The sequence below is a fragment of the Homo sapiens genome, chromosome 10 (genome assembly GCF_000001405.40).
Source record: "Homo sapiens chromosome 10, GRCh38.p14 Primary Assembly".
Classification (NCBI taxonomy): Eukaryota; Metazoa; Chordata; class Mammalia; order Primates; family Hominidae; genus Homo; species Homo sapiens.
Genome location: NC_000010.11, coordinates 67,796,380 through 67,809,865, shown reverse-complemented (window position 1 = coordinate 67,809,865; position 13,486 = coordinate 67,796,380). Strand labels below are relative to the sequence as shown.

The 13,486-nt window shown below is 40.2% G+C and overlaps 1 protein-coding gene and 1 pseudogene across 1 annotated transcript in view; one reads left to right on the top strand and one right to left on the bottom strand.

Annotated features, from left to right (window-relative positions):
• Positions 1–13,197, top strand: part of DNAJC12 (DnaJ heat shock protein family (Hsp40) member C12) — a 41,520-nt gene extending 28,323 nt beyond the window's left edge. The window contains exons 4-5 of the mRNA NM_021800.3: positions 4,079–4,283; positions 12,656–13,197. Of these exons, the coding sequence (NP_068572.1) occupies positions 4,079–4,283; positions 12,656–12,750 (300 nt within the window). The 3' untranslated portion in view covers positions 12,751–13,197. The remainder of the gene's footprint in view (positions 1–4,078; positions 4,284–12,655) is intronic.
• RNU6-1250P (RNA, U6 small nuclear 1250, pseudogene) lies at positions 1,258–1,364 on the bottom strand (annotated as a pseudogene).
• Positions 13,198–13,486: the final 289 nt, after the last annotated feature.

Sequence of the window (13,486 nt, the reverse complement as noted above, 5' to 3'; positions counted from 1 at the left end):
TCACTCTCCGTCCCAGCCTCCCACTTTGAGTCTCCAAAGTCCATTATATTATACCACTCTGTATGCTTTTGTGTATCCGTAGCTTAGCTCCCATTTATAATGGAGAACATACAATATTTGGTTTTCCATTCCTAAGTTACTTCACTTAGAACAATGGCCTCCAGGTCCATCTAAGTTGCTGCAAAAGATATTATTTTGCTCTTTTTTAGGGCTGAGTAATATTCCATGGTGTATATATCCACCACATTTCTATCATCCAGGAGTGATGCAACTGAACTGGTATTTTTTCCCTACACTAAGTCTGTCACTTTACTACCTACTTATTTATTTCTTTTTGTTTTCTAGAAGTTCCTCCTGCTAGTTTAATTGGTAAAAATATTTTAAGACCTCACCCAGGTCAATGAATATGTTGGCGATTTAAATTTAGACATGTAGTATTGGTTTGAAAAAAAAGGTTTGGAGTGAGGATTCAGTAATTCAGGCCTTTGGGATCCTGGGATAACCTGAAGAGTTATCCCAGGATTCCAGAGAATCTTAGGGAAATGTATCTTTGTCATGCTAAATGGTTTTACCCAAAGAGACCCAGGGTGTGGATGGCTCTCCCTCTAGCACCAAAATATATGGCAGCATGGATTTAGGATGCCTATGGGAAAAAGAAGCCACAGCAAAGGCACAGTCAAAATGAATGGCTAAAAAAAATTCTCATAAGCCGTTAAAACTATCTTATGCCACTTCAATTGCTGTAAATTTTATAAAGAGTTAATAGAAACACATTTTTGGTGAATTGATCATTTGACAAATTGATTGCCTCTGGGAGGGCTTGTTGGGTCAGCCTCGTGTGGACCTATTTGTCTGCTGATTGTTTCTGGGTTCCCAGCTGGGCAAGGTGTCTTTGGGGTGGGTTCAACTGGCCATAGACTACCTATCCAGAAAGCTTCCTACACTATGCCCACATGGCCACAGTTTCACCAGCCAGATGGGAAACAGTATGCAATTCAACACCTTCTGCTGGTTCAAAAGGCAATCTGTCTTAATTGGATGTTATCCAAAAGCAGGTCAGAAATCACCCTGATAAGTGAAAAATCCACTCATGGTGATCACTGATCCAGGATAATAATAACCAGTCAATTTTGTATAGCTATTCAGCTGATCTATGGCTCATCTGAGTCCATGGATTTAAAAAAATGTTGTGCCAATGTTTACTGGCATGTAAACAAAATTTTTTATTTCCCTGTGTGTTTGTGTGTGTGTGTGTGTGTTTTAATGGAATGCTTCGCGAACGTGCCTGTTGTCTTTGCACAGGGACCATGATCATTTTCTTTGTATCATTCCAATTTTGGTATATGTGCTGCTGAGACGAGCACTATTTCCTAGTATTGACCAAGGTCTAGAATGTAAGAAAATGACTTCCTAGAGAAAAAAAACCAACTCGTTCAAGAAAGCTAGTAAACAAGTTAATTGTGAAGGCAGAATAACAACATAGAAATTTCACAGACTGTTAAGATTAGTGGCCTTTGCACCTAGGCTTGCTGTCTGTTTAGCGTTAGTTCCTTCCATGCATATATAGATTTTCTGTCTTGTGCATTTTATTATCTTGCTGTAGACTCTCCCCTTTCTAGTCTCTCTCTTAGTCTGTATCAATTGCTGTCATTTGATATCTTTTATTGATGCTGATTCTACTGAAATGAGTAGCTGCATAATAGACTAGTTCGCTTGATGTTAAATGTTGTTCTGTGCAACTAATACCCTTGTGGAGTTGAGAAATATGCTTGTGAACACAGAAATGAGTGATTTGCAGACTATCTAACTGTGTCCCAGCAAACCAGGCTGCTTAGCATCACTCTGATGTTAGTCCTTTGATTGAACTACAAAGCGTGAGAAGCACTTGTATCTAAGGTTAGATACAGTTTGGATATTTCTTCTGTATATTTCTTTAATGAGGATCAGCAGATATGGGAGTCTGATAACATATTTTATTCTGATTTACTCACAAAGGAGATGGATAAGACTACTATTTCAGAACATCTTTTCACTGAGGACCTTTAAAGCATTTACTGTGGATTAGACATTAATCCTAACCTATCTAAGACAGACCACAGGTACTTTGATTTCAAGAGAGAAGTACTGAGGCACAGAGATCAATACATCACGTACAGGCCACTTTGCTGGCTTGTGAAGCTCACAGTTTACATTTTCAGCTCTCTGGGCCCTGAATTCTTGAATGTCTTATTCCTTGTTTTTCACTAACCTTCCTAATATCCTTTTCCCTCTGCAGAGGAAGTCACTGGCAGCCTCTTTTATTTTGTGCATATGCAAAAACCAAACCAAAACAACAAACCTAAACCAACCAAACAAAAGTCATTTTTTTTTTTAATACCAGCTGAGGCATTGCCTCTTTTAAAAATTAACGTTTTTATTTTGAAATAAAATCTACAGAGAAATGGGTAATACTTGCATTTACAATTTAGCAAATGGTTTTGAAGTGTTTACTCTGTAACTATTCCCTTCCCACACATATTGTTGGCACCAGGAATCTCCCACCTTGTATGTTTTTGCATCGAAACTTCGCCTAATTTTTAAAATTGAATATTTTCTTTTTTTTTTTGAGACAGAATCTCGCTCTGTCACCCAGGCTGGAGTGCAGTGGTGCGATACCAGCTCACTGCAACCTCTGCCTCCCGGATTCAAGTGATTCTCGTGCCTCAGCCTCCCGGGTAGCTGGGATTACAGGCACACACTACCTTGCCCAACTAATTTTTGTTTTTTTAAGTAGAGGTGAGGTTTCACCATGTTGGCCAGGCTGGTTTGGAACTCCTGACCTTGTGATCCATCCACCTAGGCCTCCCAGAGTGCTGGGATTAAGGTGTGAGCCACTGCGCCCAGCCTAAAATACAATGTTTTCTAATTGTACATATATATAATCTTCTCATAGAAAATTTGGGAAATACAAAAACAAAAGATGTAATTCTGTTACACAGGCATAACTACAGTTATATTTTGGTGCCTTTCCTTCCCATTTCTTTTTCTTTTTTTTTTTTTTTGAGACCGAGTCTTGCTCTGTTGCCCAGGCTGGAGTGCAATGGTGCGATCTCGGCTCACTGCAACCTCCACCTCCTGGGTTCAAGCAATTCTCCCGCCTCAGCCTCCTGAGTAGCTGGGATTACAGGTGTGCACCACCACGACCAGCTAATTTTTGTATTTTTAGTAGAGACGTGGTTTCACCTTGTTGGCCAAGGATGGTCTCGAACTCCTTGCCTCAAATGATCCACCCACCTTGGCTTCCCAAAGTGCTGGGATTACAAGCATGAGCCACTGTGCCCAGCCTCTTTTCTTTTTCTTGTTAGGGTGAGAGCTGGTTACATTTATTGGTGGCAATGACTGCTTTATGGGGTGGTTCTTGGATCTTGGGGTTGATTAGCCTTTGGACTGGTTATATTTGGAGAAGAGGATTCAGGATGACACTTCTTTGTAGTTGGGAAGAGATAGGTTGAAGGTGGGAATAAATGACTTCTTTGATTTGATTAGGGCAGAGAGCTAGAATATTTATAATTTTAGGGTGTTAAAGGCTATGTTTCCTTCTAGTCTTGAGTTGTGGTAATAGAGGTAGTGTGTCACTGTTTCTTAGTACTTCAGGAATAGCTTCCCACAATATCCCGATGAGGTTTTAAGAAATAGTTATGCATTATTTTGGTTGATGGTAGGGCTAATGATTCCACTTGAAATATTCTTGATACAGCAAACTCAAAAGCGCTCTTTTTCACTGTATTCATTTGTTAGTTCATCCATCCATCCCTCCATTCATTCATCCATCTGTCCAATTTTTAGATCTAATAGGAAATACATATACAGAACAGAAAATGAAAAAGGTACAAAAGGGTGTATGGTGAAAAGTAACTATTAATAGTTGGATTAATTAATATCTGGATTAATTTATGAGTATCTTGTTAATAGTCAAGTCTAACATGCTGTTAATTAGCACTACAGTAGTAGGTCAGGTGTTACCACATATCAAACTTTAAATATAGAAAATCATATAATATCAATTTAATTTTTATATCTCTGCTTTACATTAATTTAGTCAATGCACTGGGTTGTCAGAGGTAAAAAAGACCTGATGCTGGAAGAATCTGACAAGACTCATACCACCAAGATGGAAAATGAGGAATGTAATGAGCAAAGAGAAAGAAAGAAAGAGGAGCTGGCTTCAACCGCAGAGAAAACGGAGCAGAAAGAACCCAAGCCCCTAGAGAAGTCAGTCTCCCCGCAAAATTCAGATTCTTCAGGTAAGTCACGTTATATAACTGCAGAATGGAGAAGGTCTGAAATTAAAGAGTTTTGTTTATATTGCATTTATTCTTAACTTTTTCAATCTGCACAGCAGTGCCAAGTTTAAAGATTGGTTTATCATCTTAAAAGACACTTAGCATTGACACCGAAACTAGAAGGTATTCCTCAGAAGGGAAACCTTGAGACAATTCTCAGTGTCTTTGGCTTTACTGACATAATGCTAGCTAACATTGATTGAATGTTTACTATGTGCAGGAACACTCTTTACATATATTAGTTTACATTTATTATCTCATTTAATATTAATTTTATATATATTAACTTATTCTCACTACAAGCTTGTGAGGCTGATATCAATATTATTCTCATTTTATAGATGAGAAAACCAAAGGCCAGGAGGTTGAATAATTTGCTTAAAGCCATACAGCTTGTATGGGAAGGGAAAGGGGTCTGAACCAAGGCAGGTTGACTTCAGTCAGTGTTCCAAGGCATTGCCCTATCCTATGATAATGCCTTATTGAATTGAATTTAATTTTTTTTCTTTTTTGAGATGGAGTCTCACTCTGTCATCTAGGCTGGAGTGCAGTGGCATAATCTCAGCTCATTGCAACCTCTGCCTCCTGGGTTCAAGTGATTCTTGTGCCTCAGATTCCCCAGTAGCTGGGACTACAGGCGCCTGCCATGATGCCTGGCTAATTTTTGTATTTTTAGTAGAGATGGGGTTTCATCATGTTGGCCAGGCTGGTCTCAAACTCCTGACCTCAGGTGATCCTCCTGCCTGGGCCTCCCAAAGTGCTGGGATTACAGGTGTAAGCCACCATGCCCGGCCCAATAATGCCTTATCTGTAAATAGCTCTGTAGACATTCTGAATCATTTATAAATCCACTGAAGCAGAGTATTATAGAAGTTTACCTCCTGGCTACCAAGCTACACTACCTGAGTTCACATCCTAGCTCTACTACTTATTATCTGTATTACTTGGCAAAGTTACTTAACTTCTCTAGACCTCAGTTTCTGCATCTATAAAATAGGGATTATAATAGTACTTGCTCATCTAGGTGCATTGTTGTGCACCTGTAGTCCTAGCTACTCAAGAGGCTGAGGCAGGAGGCTGGCTTGAGGCCAGGAGTTCAAAGCTGCTGTGTGTGATGATCACTCCTGTGATTAGGTGCTTGCATTCCATCCTGGGTGACATAGTGAGACTCCATCTCTTAAATAAAAAATAGTACCTTCTTATAGGGTTACCATGAGGATTAAATGGGGAGATACATAAAAAATGCTTAGCACAGCGGTTCACCTCTAGGAAGCCCTAGGTAAATGTTACCTGTTTGTATCATTTGTCTATCTGGCTGGCTATCTATCTAGCCATCCAACTAGTTTGGATGTGTTGTATATACACACATTGTATACACACATTGTAACTGTCCTTCAAATTATTATGTGTTGATTCTCAGGGTTGTGATGTAGCACCCTATTAGAATTTAGCCTTTAAGCAGAACGTTCCTGAACACCCTAGAACACTTGTATTCAAAAGAAGATAGTTAGATGGCTTGTGGTGGATTATAGTCTTTTGAGAAATAGTCACTTCAAATCTCTCTTTGGGGAGAACTTTTACATCTTCTCTTCTTGCTGGGAATGAAGATCCATAGAGTTTGATTCAGATGTCTCTGTTGGTTACCCAAGAGATGGCTGTGGAGTCTGCACATTGATTGCATCACCCAGTAACTGGAAATGGTTATAATTTAACAAACTGATCAAAGGAGAAGCCTGAAGTGTAGAAAAACAGTGTTTTAAGCAAACACAGGAGTACAATCACTCCCCTACATGTAAACACGATGAATGTTCAGTTCTGTGTTTCTTGAACCCCTGGGGGTTCCCCAAGTCTTTCTGTTTCTGTCAGATTCAGACCAAGTCTGTGCACACCAAAATTAGGTGTAGTGTGGGTGGGAGACACTTCAGAGACTCAGGCATGATGCTGAGGCCTCTTGAGCCCCTCTCATAGGATTCTACGAAATTTTCCTTCTTTTTAAAAAAATAGTAATTTAGATACTGAATAAAAACAAAAGTAGTATAGACTTGCTGTTAAAAAATTCAAAGAATCATATATAGCCAGGTTGCCAACCTTCTCTGCTTCTGTTTCTTGAAGTAACCAAGGCTGACACTCAGGTGTGTTTCCTTCCACTATTCTCTATGCTAACACAGGTGTGTATATGTGCACTTATGAGAGCTTTAAAAGTAAAGAATGGGGTTATACTGTACACATTTCTCTGTGTTACGCAGTGGTTAAGAATGTGGGCTCAGCTTTTCACTGATGAGTTGTATGACCTTGGACAAGCTAGTTAACCCCTCTGCATCTATGTCTTCTTAGTTATATAATGGTCAAAATATTAGTGTCTACCTCATAAAATTTTTTTTTTTGAGGAGTAAATAACTTAATTGTCCAGGCGCAGTGGCTCACACCTGTAGTCCTAGCAATTAGGGAGGGTGAGGTGGGCGGATTGCTTGAGGCCGGGAGTTTGAGACCAGCCTGGGCAACATGGTGAAACCATCTCTAAAAAAAAATATGAAAATTAGCCAGGAGTGGTGGTGCGTGCCTGTAATCCCGTTACTTGAGCCCGGGTGTGTGTGTGGGGGGGGATGTTGAGGCTGCAGTGAGCTGCGATTGCACCACTGTACTCCAGCCTGGGTGACAGAATGAGATCCTGTCACACACACACACACACACACACACACACACACGCACAATAACTTAATATACGTAAAATATTTAGACCAATACCAGGCACATTGTAAACACTTTTTTTAGTGTTAACTTTTATTATTAAGAGACTTCTCTTTAAATCCTTACATTCAGAATGAATTCCTGCTTTTTAACAGCTGATAACATTCCACAGTGTAGATATATGTTATGTCAAAGTCAAACAAAAATATAGATTCGAATCTCTATGTAAAACATTTTACTTGGGAAAATATATAAAAACTACATTGCAATTCAAGGCATACACACAGATGGGATGGTCTTTGGTGTGTCTGAAGAACAAATAAAATGTTGGGGGTTTTATTAGAAAGAGAAATGTTACATATTGTTATGAAAGAAAACTCATTGGCACTAGCAAAGTTCTGGGAGCTAGCAAGCTGTAATTGGTGAGTGATGGCAATAGGTAAAACTAGCCTTAGAGGCAAGGCAGGTCATTTCGGCAGCTGGCTTGTGATAGAATTCTTGGGTAGGCATTTGTGTCCTGAGTGCTTTTCTTTTCCTCTCCCTGGTTCTCGGCTCTAATTTACTTGGGTAATAACAGATAATGCCAATTCATATAATCAATTTTCACATATAATTTACTCAGAACAAATTGTGATGCCAGTTTTGATGTCTTCATATTGTGATATGTATGCTATTGTTTAAGAATGAAGTGGAGCCAGCTGCAGTGGCTTGGGCCTGTACTCCTAGAACTTTGGGAGGCTGAGATGGGAGGATCGCTTGAGTCCAGGAGTTCGAGACCAGCTTGAGCAACATAGCAAGAGCCCTGTCTCCACAAAATTAAAAAACCATTAGCTAGGTATGCTGGCGTGCGCCTGTAGTTCCAGCTACTTGGGAGGCTGAGGCAGAAGGATTACTTGAGCCTGGGAGTTTGAAGCTGCAGTGAGCTATGATCCTGCCACTGCACTCCAGCCTGGGTGATAGAGCAAGACCCTGTGTCTCCGTGTCAAAAAAAAAAAAAAAAAAAAAAAAAAAAAAAAAAAGAATGAAGTGGAGGGGATGGGAATCATTGTTCTTTTTTTTTTTTTTGAAACAGAGTTTTGCTCTTGTTGCCCAGGCTGGAGTGCAGTGGCACTGTCTCGGCTCACTGCAACCTCCACCTCCTGGGTTCAAGAGATTCTCCTGCCTCAGCCTCCCAAGTAGCTGGGATTACAGGCACCCGCCACCACACCTGGCTAATTTTCATATTTTTAGTAGAGATGGGGTTTCACCATGTTGCCCAGGCTGGTTTAGAACTCCTGACCTCAGGTGATCTGCCCACTTTGGCCTCCCAAAGTGCTAAGATTACAGACATGAGCCATTGCATCCAACTGGGAATCATTGTTCTAAAAAGCTGTTGTTGGAGAATTATGAAATTCTGCCAAAGGTTGCATTTACAAGTATTTTCTTTATGCTGTTTAAAAGATTATTGGCTTTTCTGACTAGTGCCTTAAAGCTGGAGTTGGATATATCAAAGTGCTGTTGCATGATTATTTATGATTTCATTTTACTGCAGCGTAAATTTTTATAATGTCAGCATTTAAGAAATATTATTCCTGTCAACTTTACCAAGCCCTGAGTGGCTTCTTATATATTACTTTTCAGCATATTTGCTAATTTCCTCAAGCAGTGCTAGATATTCACTTTGGAATTTGCCTTTTGATGTCTCTTCTGTGATGAGCAGCCACCAAATAGCCCCCACCACATTCTAATTCTTTATTGCAAAAAGTAAAATATGGAGCACTGCATCTGAAAACCACTGTGCGAGACAATCTCATTTTTACTTTCTTTCTGCTTAAATATGCAATAAATATGTCTTCTGATAAATACAGTTCTAAAATAAAATAGTTTTGTGTAACATCTTGGAGTAAAAAAGAGAAAGAAATTTTTTTTTTTTTTAGACAGAATCTTGCTTTGTTGCCCAGGCTGGAGTGCAGTGGCACCACCTCGGCTCACTGCAACCTCTGCCTCCCGGGTCAAGCTATTCTCCTGCCTCAGCCTGCCAAGTAGCTGGGATTACGGCACCTGCCATCATGCCCGGCTAATTTTTTGTGTTTTTAGTAGAGACGGAGTTTCACCATGTTGGCCAGGCTGGTCTCGAACTCCTGACCTCGTGATCTGCCCACCTCGGCCCACCAAAGCACTGGGATTACAGGCATGAGCCGCCGCGTCCCACCAAGAAAAATTTAAATGTACGCAATGATTTTGGTGTGCTGCCGTGTCCCTGGGCACTACCTTCCTAGGCATTGCCAACCTTGTGGCTCCAGCCACAAACATTGTGACTCTGCCAGAGGGCTTGCTCTGGCAATGGAGCCTACTTGGCAGCAAATCAGCAGGCAGTAAGTGTCAGGGAGTAAATGCCCTTTGGATGACAATAATGAGTGGAAGTGGGAAGCTAAATTCTCCAGGTCCTTCACCCCTCATGTGAGATAACTCTAAGAAGTTTTATATTATCTCCCAGGGTTCCCCAGTGGGATCATTTGCAGTTACCCATGGCAGTAACTTGTTTGATAATGTACCTTTTATAGCTTTGGTTCTCATTCTGCTAAGGTGCCACCTGGGATTACCTCCCAAATTAGCCACTTTGTTTCAATTTTTTTTTTTTTTTTTTTTTTTTTTGAGATAGAGTCTCTCTCTGTCACCCAGGCTGGAGTGCAGTGGTGTGATCACGACTCACTGCAGCCTCGACCTCCTAGGCTCAGATGATCCTCCCACCTCCGCCCCCAAATGGCTGGGACTGCAGGTGTGCACCACCACATCCGGCTAATTTTTTATAGAGATGGGGTTTCGCCATGTTGCCCAGGCTGGTCTCAAACTCCTGAGGTCAAGTGATCCATTGGCCTCAGCCTCCCAAAGTGCTGGGATTATAGGTGTGGGCCACTGTGCCCAACCTGTTTCAAGTTCTTGTCTGCATGTCTATTTCTACGGGAACCCTAACTAGAAACTACATTTTTTTTTTTTTGACAGTCTCGCTCTGTCGCCCAGGCTGGAGTGCAGTGGCGTGATCCTGGCTCACTGCAACCTCCGCCTCCTGGGTTCAAGTGATTCTCCTGCCTCAGCCTCCTGAGTAGCTGGGATTACAGGCGTGTGCTACCACGCCCAGCGAATTTTTGTATTTTTAGTAGAGACGGGGTTTCACCATGTTGGTCAGGCTGGTCTCGAATTCCCAACCTTGTGATCTGCCCGCCTCGGCCTCCCAACGTGCTGGGATCACAGGCGTGAGCCACCGCACCTGGCCAGAAACTACATCTTTTTAAACAAAAATGACACTTACTTACTATATAAAATGTGAGAAAATATAATCAAGCAAAAGGAAGAACATATAACTCATAATTTTATCATTTAGAGAAATATGTATTATCGATATTTTGGTATATTTTCATTTGTGTTAGTATATCTAAAAGGATCATACTGTACATATTTTGTGAGTAAGTTTTAATTATAGGAACAATTATAGCAATCAGAAACAATTTCCTTTTTGCTTTTTCCCCAAATGAAAATTCTTCAGATTTGTTTTCTCCAATAATTCTTTAAAAAGTGTCAGTGTAATCTGTTTTTCTGAGATAACCATTGTTAACTATTCTGTATATGCTTTTTCTGACTACATATTTATATACTATATTAAAATATCAATGGAAGTGTATTTTATATATTATTCTGTAACCTGCTTTTTCATTAGCAATATTATTAACATAAAAAGACGAAAAGCATAGATGTTTATTGCAGAAAAATAAGAAAGTACAGATAAACAAAAAAGAGTATTAAAAATGAAAATTGGCCGGGCACGGTGGCTGACGCCTGTAATCCCAGCACTTTGGGAGGCTGAGGCAGGCAGATCACCTGAGGTCAGGAATTTGAGACCAGCCTGACCAACATTGAGAAACCCCGATTCTACTAAAAATACAAAAATTAGCCGGGTGTGGTGGCTCATGCCTGTAATCCCAGCACTCGGGAGGCTGAGGCAGGAGAATCGCTTGAACCCGGGAGGCGGAGGTTGTGGTGAGCTGAGATCGCGCCATTGCACTCCAGCCTGGGCAACAAGAGCGAAACTCCGTTTCAGAAAAGGAAAAAAAAAAAAAAAAGGAAAATCACATCTATTGTAACAATCCAGGGATAAATACTATTAATTTTGGTGTACCTTTTCTTATCTGTTTGTTTTTTGAGAGAGTGTCACTCTATTACCCAGGCTTGAGTGCAGTGGCACCCTCTCGGCTCACTGCAACCTCCCCCTCTGGGGCTCAAGTAATCCTCTTGTCTTAGTCTCCTGAGTAGCTGGGACCACGGGCACATACCACCACGCCCGCCTAATTTTTTGTATTTTTTTGTAGAGACGGGATTTTGCCATGTTGCCTATGCTGGTCTCGAACTCCTGAGCTCAAGAGAGGCACCTGCCTCGGCCTCCCAAAGTGCTAGGATTACAAGCGTGAGCCACCATGCTGGGCCTTCTTTTTTTAGACTTAAAAAAATTTCACATAAATATTCATGTAAATAATGAGTTTAGGAATGAGATCATACTATATAAACAGTTTTGTTAACTGTCACTTAGCAATATGCTGTGAGCATTTTTCTATAATGGTAAATATTAAGATATTGTTAATGACGATATCAAAACCTTTTAACCAGCTTTCATTTGCTAAAGTTTAGAATGTTTCTTGGTTTGCAAAAAAAATTTATAAATGGTATCATTATAAACATCCTTAGAGTTAAATCGTTGGGTGCATCCATTATTATTTCCTTAGGATACATTTCAAGGAGTAAAATTATTGGGTCAAAGGTTTATACTTTTTTTTTTTTTTTTTCTGAGACAGAATCTCGCTCTGTCGCCCAGGCCTGAGTGCAGTGGCGCTATCTCGGCTCACTGCAACCTCCGCATGCCGGGTTCACGCCATTCTCCTGCCTCAGCCTCCCGAGTAGCTGGGAGTACAGGCGCCCGCCACCACGCCCGGCTAATTTTTTGTATTTTTAGTAGAGACGGGGTTTCACCGTGTTAGCCAGGATGGTCTTGATCTCCTGACCTCGTGATCCGCCCGCCTTGGCCTCCCAAAGTGCTGGGATTACAGGCGTGAGCCACTGCGCCTGGCAAAGGTTTATACATTTTAACGAGTTTGATAAATATTGCCAAATTGCCTGCCAGAGGGGTTTTGCTAATTCATACTTCTAGTAGGGAAGGAAAATTACCTTCTTTTCCTCTGGTTTTCAACAATGTTGTTTATTATAACTAAAAAAAAATCTTATTACCATGGAATTCAATTATAGTACTTGTATTTCAAGCGATCCTTTTGCCATTGACTTTTAACTTTTGAAAGGTTTTTGAAAACTGTGTAATTTGTTTCAAATTTCTTTGCATGTGAATTGTCAAATTCCCCACCACCAGAGGCATCTATGTATTTCCTCTTATTAAGTATTTAAGCATGTGAGGTCTTATCATCCATATAAATTGTAATTCGTGTTCATAAGAATTCCAGTCTGTTTAAGTTAATCCATTTCTCTAAGATGTTAATAATTCATACCAAAGTCTTACCCTTACATTGTACCTGCTGCAGTGAAATATTATCCCCAAGCTGTTTTACTATAACAAGATCGACTTTTCCTACTTCTGATTTTAAATATTTACTTTCTTTCCTTTAAAGGTTTTGCAGATGTGAATGGTTGGCACCTTCGTTTCCGCTGGTCCAAGGATGCTCCCTCAGAACTCCTGAGGAAGTTCAGAAACTATGAAATATGAAATATCTCTGCTTCAAAAAATGAGGAAGAGCAAGACTGTCCCCTATGCTGCCAACATGCAGTCTTTGTTTATGTCTTAAAAATGTCATGTTTATGTCATGTCTGTGAATTGCTGAGTACTAATTGATTCCTCCATCCTTGAATCAGTTCTCATAATGCTTTTTAAATAAGAAAAATTCAGAAGATGAATTTCTTCCAATATTTGAATAAATTAAAGCTCTTAGATACAGAGTAGATTGTATTATATGCTTTTTCCTATTAATACTACTTATAGAAATCCATTAAAAAGCAATCTCTGTACAGTGTATTTAAATATTTCATTGACATACTGTGATCTCTATTAGTGATGGATGTACAAAAAATGTTTTCTTACCCTTGACTTACAATGAAATGTGAAATTACTTGTCTGAACCCCGTGGGGAGAAATAAATAATTTTCCCAAAGTTCATAAATGAATTTATAATTCAATTTTTTTTAGGGTCTTGCTCTGTCACCCAGGCTATGCAGTGGCATAATCATAGCTCAATACAACCTCAAACTCCTGTGCTCAAATTATCCTCTTACCTCAGCCTCCCTAGTAGCTGGGACTAGAGGCACACGCCACCATGTCTGGCCAATTTTTTATTTTCTATAGAGGTGAGGTCTTGCTATGTTGCCCAAGCTAGTCTTGTACTCCTGGCCTCAAGTGATCCTCCCATCTTGGCCTCCCAAAGTGCTCAGAATACAGGCATGAGACA